Raw genomic sequence first — 19,085 nt, 5'->3', positions numbered from 1 at the left:
CCCAACTCTTTGCTCACACAGAATAGTTACAAGATATCTATGCTTTTAAACCAGGAATATCAGAGCATGGGATAAAGGAGGATTGTGAGAATTTCTGAGCTTAGACTACCTGAAATGTCTGGTGAAGACTTTCACATTCTAAAATAGAGAGGAGTTGCCACTTCACTTAGGTTCGGTGGAAATGTAACCTTCTGGGTTTCTGGAAAAAAAGTCTCAGGATCTTACAAGCAGACTTTATATGAACATTTGGAGTTGTGAGAATGAATCAGACAAACACGGACCAAACGTTCCTAGAAAAGCAGAGGGACTGAAAATGAAACTGCAAAGTGTTTTGGCAGTTTGGGATTTTGGAATAATATTAGCACTCTCCCGCCCCAAACACCACCACGTAATCGACTGTCTGTATTCGGCTAGTATTTGTTTGTCTCAGAGACAAGTGATTTTGAAGCCTTTTATGACACACATTTCCCTTGAAATGCTTCCTTTCCTTTTTCTTTTTTTTTTTTAAATTTGTGAAGGGTGTGTCAGATAGAGAGTTCAGTCCATTTGGAGGGTGATTCTGGTTTTCAGACACCTGCCTCCAGATCAGAGCTCCCAAGAAAGGGGCCCGTGCTGTAATACACACAAAGCCTCATTTCCTGGCTTTGGTACCTGGGCCCCAAAAGCGAAGGAATCAGGAAATTCAAGAGAGGCTGCCTTCTTAAATCAGATAGCCATTCCAAGATTTCCTGCTCAGATGGGTGGGTTATTGATTTTTCCCCTTGCCAGAAGATGACTTGTAATCTGGGAACCAGAGGAAACTGTATTTACTTTAACATCTGCACTTAATGCAATTTTGAGTCAGAGCCTGATGGGCTTATTGTCTCCTTTATTCTAAGAGGGCCAGTGTCAGGCCAATCTAATGTTGGGTGGAAGTGATCAAGCTGCTCCATTAGCTGGATAAATTGCACAAAGACAGCCTCATATTAAGTCCCCTAGAGCAGGAGGGAAGACTCGAGAAGGTCTGTGAGGGACGATGTCTGGTTGTACAGAGAACAGACTCTCAGTGGAATCTTGAGAGTTGGGCATATGCTACCTTCTTCTACCTCTGCAATGGGACACTGTTGAGTCAGTTAGGTTGCCCAGTGGTCTGATGATGCAGCTATCACAGCTAGCATTCCTGAGTCCTGTGGCTGGGTGAAAGGTGGTGGTGGGGGGAGGGCTGTAGCAATTTATCTGAGTTTCCTGTTTTATTTTTCTCTCACTTTCTTTTCCACCTTCTCTACTTTTCCGTTAGGAAACTGAGGGTACCGTCTCCAACTTTCGCAGCTCCTTTGCTGTCTTCACCTGCCTTTTTGGACTTGTATAGATTTCTCTTTTCCATTTGGAAATCACACATTATTGCTATCTACACATTGTCAACAAAACCAATTTGTGCAAACTAACAGGCTTATCATCAGCGCCGCTGAAATGAGATTAAAACTGCTTCCAATGAAACAGATAAAAACCAGATGAATGAAGCCCGCTAATAAGACATTAAAGATAATGACAAGAATGATTAACTAGCATGATATATTGAGCAGTTATGAGGTGTTGGATGCCCAGGATCAGTAAACTAATAAAAAGAATCTACCTTTAATTCCTTTTAGTCAGTGAGATATAATCACATCAACATTATGACTTTTTGGTTATTTGTCTGTGAGAGCAATATCACACCTTTCCACCAAATTGTTCAAAGCTTATTAGTGAGAAGAAAAGAGAGAGAGAGAAAGACAGAGAGACTGAGAGAGACTGCCTTGGGAAGGGGAAGCTCTTCTCATTTCAGCTCTTTAAAAATAAAAAGGAATGTGGGTACCATGCTTGCATTTACACACTGATTATGCAGACAGTCTCTCATTTACGTTTCATCTCTGAGAGTGGCCTATTCATAGCCAGACTGTTTTACATTACACAATCAGTCAATTATCACATGATCAAGTCACATCAAGACAATCTGAAAATTACATTTCTACTGGGCAATATCTCGAGGTTGGCTGGGGCCACCACCACCCCGGAGGCTGGCTCTTCTCACAGTTGCGGGGATCACTTCTGGCCATCCTTCAGCTGGCTTGAGGAAGGAGCATGAAAGAAAGCTTCACTTATCATTCACTTAGGATTTCTCAGACCTTACTCTGTGACAAGGCCAGGGCTATGCTCCAGGAATACAGGCAAATAGAAACTTGGTTCGGCCCTCGAGGAGTCCACTGTAGTGGTGCAGGGGAAAGTAAGGGAGAAAGGGGAAGACAAGTAAACAAAGGTGATAACAAGTAAACAAACCCATGTGACAAATGACTCTGTTAATACATAGTGCCATGGGTGCCTAGAAGAGGGAGTAACTCTCTGGAGAAGCCACAGAGAGCTTTCCAAAAGAGGAATCCTTTGAAGTAGGTATGAAAGGAAGAGTGGGGTTTTGCTAGAGAGAGAGAAAAAGGATAGGGCAGAGATGAAGTGTGTGAACAAACAGCCAGGAAAAGGACAGCTGTGTTGTGGGAAGAAACACTTGGCGGGGAAGAGCAGCCTGGGAGACCCTGGCAAAGGAGTCTGGGGACAGTCAGGAAGGACCCTGCGTTTCACGCAGAGGTTTTCACGTTTTATCCTAAAAGCTGAGCTGATCCATTAATACTTTGTGAGGATAGCTACAGGATCAAACCTGTGCTTTGAAAATAGAACTTTGGTGAAGCTGTGGAGAATGGATTAAAGGCAGAAGAGAATCGTGTCTGAGAAAGCCTGCCAGAGCCATCATGTAGTAAGAAAACCCAGACAAGACCAAGACAGGTATGCACGGGTACCTGAACTCAGCTGCTAACTAGCCTTGCGGTCTTGAGGAAAATCATCTCCTTAACTGCAGTTTTTCCATCTTTAAATCCAGGATAGTGATACCTACTTCCTGAGGTTACTGGAAAGATTAAAAATAATATAAAACAAGGCCCAGGTGTCAACCATATAAGCACATCACACACAGTAATGATAATTCTCAATTAAGCACTGTGGTGGAAGGGTAGGAAGGGATGGAATCGGGGTCGGTAGTAGCAGGGTGTGTATGTGTATGCATGTGTGCATCACTGTTAGGAAAATTAGTGAATAAAATAATACAAAATTATTATGTTGTGTTGAGGACAAAAGGGAATCTGGAATAACAAAATACATGTTCAGTTATTTGAGCCATTGATGTACTTTGTCGAAGAAAATTGCATGAGTTAGACATGTTTGCAACATAGGAGAGAGTCAGCAAGTTATAAATAACACCCACTTCACCTATCTCACAGGGCAGCTGCAGGGACTCAAAACTGATTGTGAGATTTCTTGATTGCTGAGAATGTCAGCTCCTTGAAGATGACAACATGTTTACTATTATATCCCTCATGCCCAGAACTCATGAAAATAAGTATTTATTGAATGAATGACTGGAAAAACGGTGGAAAGGTTAATTCAACTGTGAGCCAATAGCGTCAAAAATACAGTTTCAGTCTTTCTCTCCATTCCCCTCACCAACTACGATTTTTACTCATGACTTTCAAAACATAACAAAAATTATTGAATCCCTCTAAATATTGCTGGCCTCTGTATGCCATGTGTATAGAATGAGGTACTTAGTATATAGTGGTGAATGAATAATACAGACATGGTCTTACCCTGAGCTTACAGTGAACATGGGCAACTGAGTCTCATGAAGGCTTTCAAATGTGTGAGTGTCTTTCCCTCTCTTCCCTGCACATCATTGTCATTCCAGGTGAGATTTGAATAAAGAATAGATGTGCAAAGACACTAGGTAGAAGGCTGTGTGATGGGATGAAGGAGGATGCATCCTGTGGTCGCATGCATTTGGGTTTGCCATCTCATATAGTATTTAAATATATAAATATTGCTTACTATATGGGAGACTTTAAGCCAGCTACTCAGCCTCTCTAAGCTGAAATTTTCTCATCTTAAAAATGAATATTTTCAGTAGAAATTAGTAAAATTAGGTATGCAAATCATTCAATGCATAATAGGCTCTTAATATTGTTTTTTCCTTACCAGTAGATTTTCTTGTAGACAAGACTCATAGCTAAGGAAAGACAATTGTGTTTGAAAGAACTTCAAGCTTTGCTATCCACAGGTTGCTCCTCCTGTCTTTACGATATGTTAGAGAAGACAATCAACTTATTCAAAAAGTAGAAAATCTACTTTCATATCCTCTACTACCTCTTGAAAATGTTTATCATTTCTGGTGGTTTATTAATATGCAATCAAGTCCAGATTCAGAAGGGTACATATTTTCAGATAGGGCAGTCCTCTTAAAAATTGACAAATATGATATGCTCCAATAAAGAGAAAAATCTAAAAACAGTATGTCTAAAATCAGTTCTCTGCTTAATAAAACAATCCCGCTGTTTAAGATACCAAATAAAAGGACTTGGAAATGCTAATTCCATAATTTTTACACTGACTGTTAAGTTTTATAAACATGTTTAAAAAGCCATTATTTCTGTGTGTAATAGAAATTTTAAATGTATCGTTTTCGGTATTGGTTTAAAGTTCCCAATCAAGACTTTCTCCCAGCTTGAGCCAGTCCCACACCTGCCATCTGTCCTGTGCCTTTGCCCTCTGTAGAGAAGGCAGATTCTCATAAATGTGTAATATGCTGATGAATTCCAATTTTTATAACCAATATGTTTGATTGAGAGAACACATTGAGAGATACTTAACATATCTATAGTCTATGAATGACTTTATTTAAAAATACATTTATTTTTGCAAAAATCTGCATGGTTACAGAATATATATTTTATCAACTGGGCTCTTACTCCTGCAGTGAAGGCCTAGTGTGTCCATAAAATTACATTTGCTATTGTGATGGCTTGATTGAGAAACTGCTCCCCCTCTAGTTTCCAAGATCTACTGTTTGGAAAAAGAGTTGAGGCTGATTTTTCTGGTGCACTATACCAATCTAAGAGTGGAAGTTGCAGTTGTAGGACAGGTCTAAATTGCATTCTTTCTTTAGTTTCTTTCTAGCTTGGAGTTTATGTTTCCATGAGTTAATGTTAAAATCTAGGATGAGGCTCCAGCTAGTGTCTGTTCCATTTTCTGGGAAGTCCCTAAATCACGACTGTTTCAGGACAATACAGCCACTGGGGCAGGAGCTCTGAGATACAGGCTCTCCTTGTTACATTGAGAGAGAAATTGTCTACCACTTTGTCCATGAGAAACAAGACTTGCCCATGAGGTAAGTGCAAAGTTGGTAGAGTGGAAGGGAGTACTAAAATAATACAGACTATATAACTTTTGAAATATGCATTTATTAACTTACGAATGGGTTTATGATATGGGAGAATATATGAATTAGTTCTATTCAACAATTACTTCCAAAAAAGGTGAATGTTTTAAAAAAATACAAGGAACAAGTATCATATACTTAAAGTAAGATAAAATTCCTTTATATTGGTTCTGTGAACACAGAAAATAACATAGGTCAATCATTATTTTTGGTATATCTTTTCATACATGAACGAGTGCAAATTTCATTTATTGATTGTATCAATCTCTAATACTATAAGTATTTTTCTAAAGAAGACTTCTTAATATGGCTTATTATTCAATTTTTTTTATAAAGTTGACTGCAGTCTCCCTCAAAGCTACATCTTATGCTTAATAAATTTAGAATTGTTGATAACTTCAACTGACTTTTCTTTATAGGCAATACTATTTCTAATTGAGAAAATTCCTCAGGTATTGGGGTAAGTGGTAAGCTCAGAGTATATCTGCTGATTGGAAGATATTCTTGAAACCATTTAAAAGTATTTAAATATATAAATATTTTATATCAAATGTTTTCACATGTACTATCTTTTTGCATCCATTTCTTCAAAAAATAATTTTACCAAACAAAATTTGTCAATGAATTATCTCCACATTGGAAGGCTACCTCAACATAGTTCTATTCCAGTACAGAATATAAGATTATCCAATAGTAAAAAAGGGAACCCCATCACAAGATTCTTCCCAGAGGTCAACATATTCCAAAATGTAATTATAGAATTTCAAAACTAAATGTTTTATGCCTTTCATCTCCTATCATCTAGTTTGTTCAGTTCTTCCTTTGCTTTTGTGGGATTAAATTTCATCGTTTTTCTGGTGTCAACCTTTTCTTTCAATAGTTACAATTTGATATCCATTTCAAAAGTTGAAATTATTTGGTGTTCCCTTACATTTTTTTTAATGAAAGCGGTTTTATTTTATTTTATTTTTTAACTTTTATTTTAGGTGTAGGGGTACATGTGCAGATTTGTTATATAGGTAAACTCATGTCATAGGGGTTTGTTGTACAGATTATTTCATCACCCAGGTACTAAGCCTAGTACTCAATAGTTATTTTTTCTTCTCCTCTCCCCCTTCCCTCCCTCCACCCACAAGTAGGCCCCAGTGTCTGTTGTTCTCTTCTTTGTGTTCATGAGTTCTCATCATTTAGCTCCTACTTAGAAGTGAGAACATGCGGTATTTGGTTTTCCATTCCTGCATTAGTTTGCTAACGGTAATGACCTCTAGCTCCATCCATGTTCCCATAAAAGACATGATCTTGTTCTTTTATATGGCTGCATAGTATTCCATGGTGTATATGTACCACATTTTCTTTATCCAATCTGCCATTGACAGGCATTTAGGTTGATTTGCCTTTGCTGTTGTGAATAGTATTGCAATGAACATACTCGTGCATGTGTCAAACATTTTGAATAAAAAATTGCAATTTCTTTCAAACAAAATTCAACCTTAATTTGGAGGACTGTTTTACAATAAGGTTCAATACTATTGTAAGATACTTAGGTTGATCTACAAATTAGTTCTTTAAAAATGAAAACATTTTACAAATCTAATGATGAGTGTCTTAGTCTGTTGGGGCTGCCATAAAAAAAAATGCCATAGACTGGGTGGCTTATAAACTATGGAAATTTATTTCTCACAGTTCTGGAGGCTGAGAAGTCCTAAATCAAAGTGCCAGCAGATTTGGTGTCGGTGGAGGGCTGTATCCTGGTTCCTAGATAAATGGCCACTTTTTTGCTATGTCCTCACATGGCAGAAGAGGTGAAGGATCTCTCTCTCTGGAATCCCTTATAAAGAAACTAATCCAATTTATAAGGGTTCTACTATCACAGCCTAATAACCCTCCAAAGGTCCCACCTTCTAATACCATCGCTTTGGGGTTCAAATTTCAACATATAGTTTTTAGTGGGACATAAACATTCAGTCCTTTGTTGTAAAAAGATAAAACATGCATTGCCATACTGAAACTTAAAAAAAATTAAACATGAATGTTGTCACAAAGATTTATAATTTAGCTGCTTTAAATACTGCTTCTATTTTGATATCTAAGCATGTTGGGACACACTTTATGAATAACAGGTTAGTGCAACCAATTTTAACTAGAGTTCTGCTCCAGAAGTTTCTTAATTTTATTAGAACATTGATCCAAATGAAAAGTCATGCTTCTCAGAGTTGATTATGAAACTTCTGCAGCTGTATATACTTGTTAAATTGACATCTTTGGAAATAGTCTTCTTAAAATAATCACTAACTTTTGAATTAAATGCTAATGCTTCTTCAGAATATGTGTGCCTTCTGGTAGATTTCAGGTAGATGGTAAATGTGCACCAATAATTTGTGCAATTTGCATCTTCACCATCAACTTTTTTAAGACATGAAAATTCAATATTTAATATTTCCTTAAATGTTACACTTTTTGAGATTATTTCTTTGAAAAGGACAAAATAAAACAAAGCATTACTAAACAGTAAAGTACATACATAATTGTAGATTTAGATCATACATACTATAAATACCACACCCCTGAAAAAAAGTGTTCAAACGACTCTCTCTGTGGTCTATGTTATGACAGTAAGGTCTATATTGCTTGTACATAGTTTACATATTCCAAAAGTAAGATTTCTGACAATTCCTACTATCCTACTGAGCAGTGGCTTGATGACTTCTGGAACTCACAGGCTGTGGCTTTGGGCATTGTCCTGGTCACAGCACAGCTAGCTGCTGATACACCAAGTGGCCAGAAGGGGCAGCAACAGTGAATACTTCTCCCATTGCTGCCTGAGATCAGGGGAGTTAGTGGTCCTTCGCCACCTATTACAAGCCTCCTTTTTTATCAGGGAGTGTATGCTGTCCTTGAAAAGAAGGTGTTGGCACCACGTGTCTTGAAAGGGAAAGGAAAAATAAGTTAAGCTACCACTTATCATCTGTCAGATTAAACCATGTGTTAATCAGAACACTGTCCACTACGTACTATGAGACAAGACCCTAGCAGAAGCTAGACATACAAAGTGGGAATTACCAAACTCATCTTAGTATATTTTCAGGCTTTGCCAAAAAAATGAAAATTCTAGGATGAATGTTAAACTGTGCTGGATCTGGGATAATAGATATAAACTAGGAGTATTCCAAGCAAAGTAGGATGCATGGTCACTCTAATAATAGAGATTATTTTCAATTATGGAAGTTTAATAATACTTAGTGTTGATGATTAAATACAGAGTTAGAAATCTAAAGATGTATTTTATCTACCCAAATATATTAGCAGAACAGTGCAAATATTAGACTAGCCATTGTTCTCAGTTTTTTATTGTGCTCAAGATACAGAATTGAACACTAAACAAGCGAGCAAAGCAAAGATTGCTAGAGTACAGCAGAGTCTCCCAGTGTCTATTCAGTCGCTGTAGTTCCAACCCTATTCACCTGGTTGTTCTTCAGCACTGGGTTACTTTTGAGCTGAGTTGGTTCTTGTCCTGGCTATACTCGTGTTTTCTTAAATACCCATGCGACCATGTTCTTACACTTTGCTGTAAATATGTGATCTTTCTTTGGTGCCTGCTTGATTATGTGCTGTGGCTCTTACCCGTTACTCTCCTGCAGTTGATCTTCTGTCTTGCTTCACTTATGCCAAAACTCCTTCTGATGTGCATCATCATAACATCATGTATACACATTGTAGCAATACCTATTTTTATCCATTGATAAAACTTGCTGATATATAGTGAGAAGAACCTGTAATTTAGGCTGAATTGATTAGATCAACCTCAACTCTCATTCCCCTGCCTCTGTAGTCCCATTTGAAGAAAATTTATGTCATGGGCAGGGAACTTACACATATCCAGAGGGAATTTATCCCTTCTCAGATGTCTACTTAGCCTGCAGAGGTAAGGAAAGCAGGAGAGGTAAAGCTGGTATTATGATAGGTATCCTAATAAAGACTTTCCTTATTCCTGCTAATTCATCTCAGAATGTGAATGCTAAGTTGGCATGCTGTATTATTATAGGTGACAGCAGTTTTAGGGGAGTTCTCCAAAGCCTTATCTTTTATTAGTGCTTATACCAAGGTCCCATAGAATGAATATGTAAATCATTCACTATAACTCTCGACTTTTTTTTCTGAGTCACACTAAATTTGTATACAACTGAGGGCAAGCAATATATTGTCATAATTCTGTCACTTCATTCATTCCATTTATTCATCATTCAACATTCAAGATATATCAATTGTCTACGTAGCCCTTGGCATTCACTCTTTATGCCAGTGCAGGAGATATAAATGTAAATCAAACACAACTCCTGACTTCAGGGAATTTAGATTGGTGATAGATACAAGGAGGAACCCGACACTTTTACAGAGTGTGCCCGTTGCTAAAACCATAGAACATATAAGGTACAAATGGAAGAAAATGCCTAGACCTGTGGGGGAAGATTCCATTAGTTCCTCAAAGAGTGGGTGAGTGCCTGAGTTGAGAATTTTGCCACAGTTGGTGGATTGGGAGTGGTAGATGGGAGGGCATTCCGAGCACAGTCAATATTCATGTGTGAAGTTTTTCGTATGGGCAGGTGGGAGCCACTTCTGAGGCTCTAGCATACTATTTCCTCTATTTGGAACACTCAATCCCACCCTACCCCATGCCTTAATGTGGCTGATTCTATTTTATTTCTCAGATTACTTCCTCCAGTAGTCCTTCCATGAAATACAAAGTCTGGTTTCTGTGCTTTTTTTTAAAATGTGCTTTCTTAGTATCCTGAACTTCTAACAGTGTGCAAATAAATTCAAATTTCAAATGGTAATTTTACCCATAAATTCTAAATTCCTTGAGGATGGGACTAGAAGACCATTTTTGTTCATGGTTCTTGCCCTGCTACCTGTGGTAGCCTGTGGTAAATAATAAACTTTCAGTATTTATTACAAAAAAATGAACGAATAAATGAATGTATGGAGTCAGTCCATGTAAATTGAAAGGTAATTTCTCCCGAAAGCTGACCAACATCTTTTTAGAATGCTATTAGCCGCTGCTTTTTATTTTTTATAGCCCTTCTTTCTCATAAAACTTGGTGATATTCTCCAAAGGACATTTACAAGTATTTTTCTAATTTTGTAGAGGCTGGCAAATGGAGACTTTCCCCCTCGTCGGGCATCGTCAAAATGATAGTTGGAAAGTATACAAAACAATGAATACCTGGTGGCAAATGTATGGGGGTGGGCAGGTTCATCAGCTGAGAGGTTACAGCACATCAGACAGGATGAATGGAAGCATGTTCACAGAGGAAACAGTGGGGGAAGCGGTCCAGGCTTGAGCATTTGCTGGGTGAGGCTGCAGTGCAGGTAGGATTGTCATGCTGATTAAAACCTGGACACACTTGCAGCTTGGTGTTGGTAAGGAGGGCAGAAGGGGAAAGAGTAATTGCAAAGAGGTGGGTTAATCTATGATTCATCTGTGGAAGGCTTTGCTGGTTACATCCACCCTCTCCTGTCCTGTCCTGTTCACAGAATGACCGGCAAACTCCCTAGGAAAACATCTAGATGTTCTTCTCTAAAGATGAATTTCCTGGAGTAACCAAGGCTTCTTAATTGGGAGTGGTGGCCCAGAGTAGTCTTTCCTTTCCTGGTCCCTGTGGAGCTTGTAGTCTGTGGCTGCTGACTCTCCCATTCTGATTCCACGTAACCTGGAGTGAAACTGCTAGTGGATAAGTCCACCCTTGTACAAAGACGTCAGCTCTCCCGCCAAGAAAGAGGACTGCTGGGGGTGTTAGGCCTACAAGCCCACAGTAGTTGAACTCAATCCATCTACTCAGAATAATCAACCTACATCTCAATTCTTTAATATACATAAACAAGGATCTCCAGAACTAAAGGAAACAACAGCATGAATGAGAGTGGCCAAGATCACTGGGAACAAGTATTCAAAATAAAACAGGCTTCAAAACTGCAAAATAAAAATAATTTTAAAAAAGAATGGCCAAAATAACAAAGAATAGCTGATCTTAGACAAAAGTGCCACTCCTGTAATCCCAGCAATTTGGGAGGCCGAGGTGGGCAGACTGCTTAAGGCCAGGAGTTTGAGACCTGCCCGGGCAACATGGCAAAACTCTTTCTCTAACAAAAATACAAAAATTACCCTGGCATGGTGGTGTGTGTCTGTGGTTCCAGCCACTTGGGAGGCTGAGGCATGAGAATTGCTTGAACCAGGGAAGCAGAGGTTGCAGTGAGCTGAGATGGCATCACTGCACTCCTGTGCTCTAGCTTGGGTGATCGAGAGAGGCTCTGTCTCAAAAAAAGAAAAAAAAAAAAAGAAAAAGATGCAATCACTTATGAACAAAAGAGATAAGTATACTCTAGGCAAGGAACAATCAGAGAACATGACTGAGCTCACAAAAAGAAAAAAAAGTATATAATTACTACAGCAAAGACTGCTAATGGTCATCAATTGAACACAAAATTTGTGTTCCTCCTTCCCAAGTATGTAGTTATTATGGGGAAGCAGTTGTTAACCAGGAAGTACATTTTACAGTGCACCCTACTCCTCCCTATTGCATCTAGTGGGACCAAATGACTATTTTCACCAGTTGGAATGTGAGCAGAAGAGACATGTGACATTTTCATGCCAAGGCTGTTGAGAATAAGATTTTCATCACCTTCCTCCCTCTTCTGGCAGAATGCAAGGCAATGTGAGGCCTTGGAGGACGGCAGAGTCAAAAGGTGGAAAGGGTCCAAATCTCTGATTCTTTGGATGGGGAGGAGCTGCCTGCTAAACAGGGGAACCTGTGTTCAAAAAGTTATGCTAATATGAAGTTAGTGATTATTATGATAAGCCACTGAAATTTGGGGGTTATTACAGCAGCAGATAGTGTTGCCCTAACTAATGTAAGTGTTAATATTTAATTTTTTTTAAAAATTAGTAGAATGATAGGAAGATGAGTTGAAGATATTTTCTAGAATCTAGAACAATTAGGGAGATAAACAGAAAACTAGAGAATGTATAGATGACATAAGGAATTGATCCGGAAGCTCCAAACGCTAAAAAAGAGTTCAGAAGGAGACAATATAGAAAGTTGAGGAGAGAAAACTATCAAAGATGTACTAGAAAAAATTCTCCAGGGCTAAAGATTCCATTTGCAGATTGAAAGGGATCAATGAGGTCTGAATAGGGTAAAACAATGATAAATCCCAATTTAGAAAGTCAAAACTGCAGAAGATTAAGGTTAAAAAGAAGATCCTAAAAGTCAATGCAAGAAAAAGTTATACATAAGCGAAAATAATTAAGCTGGCTTTGAATTTCTCAGCAGTATCACTGGATGCCAACAGGCAATGGAGAAATGACTTCAATATTTTGAGGAAGAACATTTGTTAACCTAGATTTTCAATTTAGACCTAGCCAACTGTTAATCAATTGTGAAAGTAAAACAGGAATATTTGTAGACATGCAAGGACTTAGAAAATTTGTTCAATGTATCCTTCCTAAGTTATCTACTCCAGCAAACTGAAAGAGCAAACTCAAGGAAGAGGCTGATGTGGGATCCAAGAAACAATGTGCGGTGTGAACTAAGAGAATCACGGAGATTCTAAAGTTCTGAACCCTGGTCTTCTTACTGGCTGAGTGTATCAATGTGCCTATTGTTGAAATTAATTCAATCAGAATTTTCTGTCTTACATTTCTCAAAGTATTCAGTTCTATACAGAGGATTTCTCTAAAAGTTATAAATCATTGTGCTAGGTTAGGTCTGAACCTCTTCCTACTTCCTTCACTCCTACCTCCTGAACTCTTTCCTACCTCAGGGTGGCTAGTTTCCAGCCCATTTGGGCCACTCTTTCTGGGATTGGGGGCCAGATTTTTTTTTAACCTTGTCTTATTTGTAAGCCTTAATTTGGTAGCTCTGTTTCCTGGGCTCAAATATCAGTCCCAAAGCCCTTAACATGTCCCCCATGAAGCTTAGGAATCTTCGTGCAAAATGTCCCAGTGGTCTAAGCCATTTTCCGAGCTTCCTGATGTAGGTATACAGGTTAGGCTTCTAAACTGACCCCTGCTCTGTTTTTTCCAGAACTTGCAAAAGAGTGGTGCCTCAGTGCTCCAGCAGCATAAAAATGGATCTGTAGATAATGCTTCCCTCCATTCTCTTCACTTGGAGAATCATACAATACAGGAGTATATTAAGATCTCTGAGAACCCTGGCAGAAAACAAACAAACAAACCAACCTGATTAACACTGTTTAACCCAGCATCTCCTAAACATAATTGACTGGAGAACCTCCTCTTCCCCCTTTTGTTTTTCTATTGTAGGGGAGAAGTGATATATTTACCTTACCCATTTAGGTTCATGGCTGAGACCGCTATAATAAAAGGCAGGTTAACAAGAGAAAAGCATACAAATATATTTAAGTTTTACCTAACATGAGAGCCTTCAGAAATGAAGACCCAAAGAAACAGAAAAGATTGTGTTTTTATGCACAGTGGTGCAGAAGTATGATTGGAGGACAAAGGAATATTACTAATGGTAATAATTTGGGGGAAACTTAGCAAGGCCTATTTGTTCAGATTCTTTTTTTAAAAAAAAATCCAAATGAGACAGGGTATTGCTTTGTCACCCAGGCTGGTGTGCAGTGGCTCAAACATGGCTCAATGCAGCCTTGACCTCCTGGGCTCAAGAGATCCTTCTGCCTCAGCCTCCCAAATAGCTGTAATCACAGGCATGTGCCACCATGCCTGGTTAGCTTTTTAATTTTTTTTGTAAAGATGGAGTCTTGCCATGTTGCCTAGGCTGATCTTAAGCTCCTGAGCTCATGTCATTCTCCCACCTTGACCTCCCAAAATACTGAGATTACAGGTTTGAGCCACTGCGCATGGCCTTGTTCATGTTTTTCTCTGTGTCCCTGTGTCTTCATTCCTTTTCTCTGGGTACAGGGAGGACTCCTCTGGAATGAGGGTCTTATGCCCTACCCTAGAGAAAAGTCAGAGAATTATTTTATGGCCCACTTCAGGGGAGAATGGCAAAGGTCCTGCTTCTGTTGTTTTCTTAAATGCCAAGGTGCCATGTTTTGGAGTAGCATGTTCTGAACTGCATGATTATAACATCCTTTAATATTCTAAGAAATTAGGTTTTCTTAGAATACATTTTCACAAATGTTATTCTAGCAACAAAATCCATCTACAGAGTGGCATGTGTGCTCATTGCATGTTTTATCTGTGGCATAATTTTAGATTGCAAGCCCCCACCTATGTTGGTTAATTCTGCTTCACATGGAAGAGACAGCCATTGGGCCAGCCCTGAACAAAGATCCCTGTCACCAAGATCCACTGCTCCTGCTGTGGTCAGGCAAAGAGAAGGGTAAGAATCTACTCTGTGAACTCAGAGAGGTCTGGGTCTGGGTGTTTTGAGCACTGTATCTGAAGAGGTATAAAGATGATATAAAATTATGTCAAACCACTGGAAACAAATAGAGTGAAATTACATAATGTGCCAAGGGAGCAAGAACAAATGGGGTGACCAGAATCATATGTATGCAGCGGTTTAATAAATATTTTTGATGGTGACATGATGATGATTAAACATAGAGCAGCTCAGATACATAGGATCCCAAGAGGGTAGAGTGGGACTCTGACACTGAGATCACCGACTGTGAGCTTGCTCTTGTTGTGGAATTAGCTCTTGCTCCCTGCCTTTTGGCAGCTCTTGCAGCAGCCGTGCTTCCTCTCCCTGTGGTCGCAGAAGGAGCAGGAAGGCAATGTGCAGAACATCTGCTTAATGGAAGAAATGGAACACTCTGATTTTGCCCATTATTTTGAAGATGAATTTTAAAAGGGAAGTTAAATTAATTAAATGCAATCAGACTTGCTACTTTCCTTACAGATCAGGTATTTACTTTTGTAAGTCACTGGGCCCTGAATATTTACAGCCTGCCTTTTCTATTCATGTGTACGTGAAAGGCAGTGTGCATGGTGGTTCCAAGTGATTGTGGAGTCAGAAACTTATGTTTGCATCCAGCTCTGTCAGTTACTTGCCATAATTGAACTAGTAATTGACTAGCCAAGTCCCTTTTTTAAGCCTCAGTGTACTTGGTTATAAAATAGAGCTAACATCCTCCTCATAATACTAATATGAGGATTACATTAAAATACTGCATATAAAGTACTTAGTACACTTCCAGGCACATAGTCAGTACTCAATACATAGTAGCTTTCATTAATAGTTCATATGCTATCTCCCTACTAAACTGTCCCTTGAGGGCGTAGGCTCCATGTACTTAATCTTTGTAACCTAAGGCATGGAGCCTTGAACACAGTATACAGCAATCAATTATTAATTGGTAACCTAAGATTATGCCACCATAGCTTAAGGGAAAATATGGGCAATTATTCATTTAACCTGGAAAATTCAGTCTCCCAAGTGAAATTTTGTTATGGTTTAATTTGGTTATGCCCTAATTAACATCTAAATAATGGCCACATCTATTATTCCTGAAGACTGGTATTGGCATGTTTGCTCCCTATTGCATACAAACAGATCCATTTATTTGCTTCGTAATCTAGAATCTGCTTTCCCGTCCTTTGCCTACATGTCTTGCGGGGTGCAGATGACAGTCAAGTCTTCCTCAAGTGGGCAGAGTGTTTCAGGTTGACCGCCATATTTACTGAACTGCTGAACCACTTGCTCCTCACTTCTCTGTCAATGGTGTGCTGGCTGGAATGCAACAATGACAAGCTCAAAAGTCAGTTCATCACCCGGACAGTTGCATGCATTCACAAAACAGACAACACATAGGAAAACACATCTAGATGACAGACCGCATTTTTCACTGCCCAGCTGGACTTCTGCATGTCACATAAAGAGGGGCCTTGGGGACTTGCAAGATGACAATCTATGCTATTGCTGATATGCCCAGCCCACAGGGGCGTGGCAGGGGAGGCGAGTGGCAGGAACCAAGCCTTCTTGGGAGTGCCATGGGTTCTTCTGCCTGCCAATTGCGATGGCGATGTGGCGGAGCCACCCCCACCCAGCAAGGCTTAATGACCGCATGCTGACTTAAAAACGTAGTCCCAGGGAAGGCATTAACATTCTGAGCTCAGCTGTGTCATCTCAGTTGCCATAGCAATGCTGAGAAATATATTTTGTGTCCAATGGTTATTTCTCCACACTAATGAAATGGACATTTTTCTTCAGTGAATTGAATCAAAACTAATTGAGTAGTAATCAGCACAGACCCTGAAGTTCAGGGGAATGTAATCTGACTAGTCTGACTAGCGCTTTGTGGAAATGCAGAAACCGTTAACTATCTTCAAATGAGATTTTTTTAAATTAATGGAATCTTAGCAACCTATTGCAGGCTGGTGTGTGTTATCATACAAAAAATTCGTCATTTGTTTAGCGCTGGGAGGGGAAATTTATTTTCAATTAATTCAAGTGCTGATAACATTCTATGGCTTGTTGTGTCCTCTCCTCCAATAAATAGCCCAAACTGATTGATGTGTGCTTCTAGATGGACTTTAAAAAAAAAAAATATATATATATATATACACACATACACGCACACATATATATAATATATATAATTCATAATTTGGATTCTCAGATGTTTTCAGAAAAGAGTGTTTTTTGCTGAGACCAACTGTTCCTGAAGCTCATTGAGCAATGGAGATGAAAAAGTGATTTTTAAAAACTATATCTTATTGCTTAATCTGTTCAATGTCAAATATCACTGTGATGGAAGAAACTACACAGAGATGGCTGGAAGCCATATGGAGTCGTCATTTTTGTCCTCGGATATATCTACAAATTCATCCTTGATTAATCTTACAGTTCCTTTTGCTTTCATTTGGATCATGAGTATAAACAAAAATACAAGTACAAGCTAGTTCCCTAAGTATTAACACTCCCCTTCTGTTATAAGTAGATCTTCATCTCCTTTGAATATGAGCCTAATTCACAGCAAAGAGACATTTGGTTACATGCAAATATGAGTGAGTTCCTGGGATAGACTGGAAAGTTTCCCCTAAATCTTTAAGACAGCTGGCTTGTCAGGTGTAGTTCAATAGTGGGTTGGGGGTGGCTAAATGAGTTCCTAATTTCAGATGTCCTGCTTCTCTTATTTATGGAGTTCGCTGAGAAGTGTCTGAGCTCTCTTTGCCCTCTGACTCTGTTGTGTCACCAGGCCTTGGGAAAGTAAGAGTGTCCATTCTTCTTCCCCTCTGCTATCCAGCATGGGGCTGGATCTACAGGGAGCAGGTTCCTGAGCCTGGCATGAGCAGCCTCAGTAAGACTGTGTGTGATCTTAGCGGCAAGAGCACAACCAGGTTAAGGCAGGTGGGGTTTGAGAAAACCACACCCCAATATTTGGCAAATGAATAAACAGATGAATCATTTTCCTAGGACTCAGAGTCTAAAGCTTCCAACCAGCACTAAATTCACATTAAAAATTGATTGTGCCATAATTTTTAAGTACAGCCAGACCTGATGGCGTATGTTAGCATTTCCTTGAGGTGAGATAAAGCTGTGTGGAGTCAGTCTCTCAGCTGATTGGCAGGACAAGGTGGGGAGGAGGAAGCCAACAGGGAGAGGGAGCAGGCACTCCTCTTCTCCGCAGACATCTACCTTTTTTATAGCCTTTGGGTCTCAATGTGGGAGAAGACACAGTCTTCTATTGCCATGGCAACATAAGTGCATCACAGTGGGATTAAGGGGTTGAAAGGCAAGAAACACCAAGCTTGGAGGAGTTGGGGCAATTGAGAGAGGATGGACTTTTGCTAGAAATAAACACAATAAGGTGGCAGGGCAATAGAAGAGAGTGGATTTATGGTTTATGACATTCCTAAAATATCTTTATTTAATAATGAAAACTTCATTATCCGGGCCTGGGTTGAAGTGTTGCTGTGGGCCCTCTGAGGATCCCAGCAAAGATCTTTCATCTTGACAGAAGTTCTAAATCACAACATTAGTGTTCTAACCGAGAGGCTGTTATTGCCTATTTGGTCTGTCCAGGGAAATGAGACACACATTGCTGGAGAGTGGGTTATTGAAATCTAGTAGCTTGGAATATTAAAAATGGGGGCTGGGTTGGGGGGAGGTCTCTTTCCCCATGAGCTAGGGATAAATTAAGTGATAAACCTGGGATGTTTACTAAAGTTTCATTATTTTTCAGGAAAAAAAAACCCTAATTCATCTTTATTATGGCCAAAGCCATTATTATGTTTCACACCATTAAGAAACAAACATAAGGAGATCCCTAAAGCTAATTTTCAGACCAACTATATGAACCTATTATGCCTTTATTTTCATCCCAGGTACCTCTGACTCCTTCTCAGTTATGCAGCCTGACCTCCAAAAAAAAGTGTTTGGTCTTCAGATTTTTCAAAGACAATTAGGTCTAACTGGCTCCCGGTGTTTGACTAATGATCAGAACAGATAGCTCTCCAGATCACAGTTCAATTTCTACTCCTTCTGGCAGGGCAAGAAAATGGCCTACCTGTGCTGGTGGAATCAGAAGAGGGCCAAGTGAGCAGAGAGCTTTGCAGTCTTTTCTTCCCTTTGCTTTCTCAATTCTTCCTCCTTATCTTCCCACCTCCCACTAATACAAACACATCCATTTTCATTTTCTGTTGGCTGTCTCTAAGGCCAGTCTCACAAAAGGGAAGGCAGTTGCCTAAGTGGTTTAATAACAACAATTAAAAAGTAGGTTTAATATGTGCTAGACACTTTGTTAAATGCTTTCAATGAATTATCTCATTTAAGCTTTACACCCATTTTATGAGGTTGGTACTACTATTAACCCCACTTTC

General features: G+C 39.2%; 1 long non-coding RNA gene across 1 annotated transcript; it reads right to left on the bottom strand.

The window, feature by feature from the left end:
* Positions 1 to 14,808: 14,808 nt before the first annotated feature.
* Positions 14,809 to 17,885, bottom strand: LINC01696 (long intergenic non-protein coding RNA 1696). The gene is made up of 3 exons (NR_135085.1): positions 17,761 to 17,885; positions 15,869 to 15,993; positions 14,809 to 15,050 (listed from the first exon to the last, which is right to left on the bottom strand). It is a non-coding gene; the product is annotated as a long intergenic non-protein coding RNA 1696 (long non-coding RNA).
* Between the last annotated feature and the right edge of the window lie 1,200 nt (positions 17,886 to 19,085).

The sequence above is a fragment of the Homo sapiens genome, chromosome 1, assembly GCF_000001405.40.
Source record: "Homo sapiens chromosome 1, GRCh38.p14 Primary Assembly".
Taxonomy (NCBI): Eukaryota; Metazoa; Chordata; class Mammalia; order Primates; family Hominidae; genus Homo; species Homo sapiens.
The sequence above is the reverse complement of the archived record's forward strand: the minus strand, read 5'-3'. Positions and strand labels throughout refer to the sequence as shown.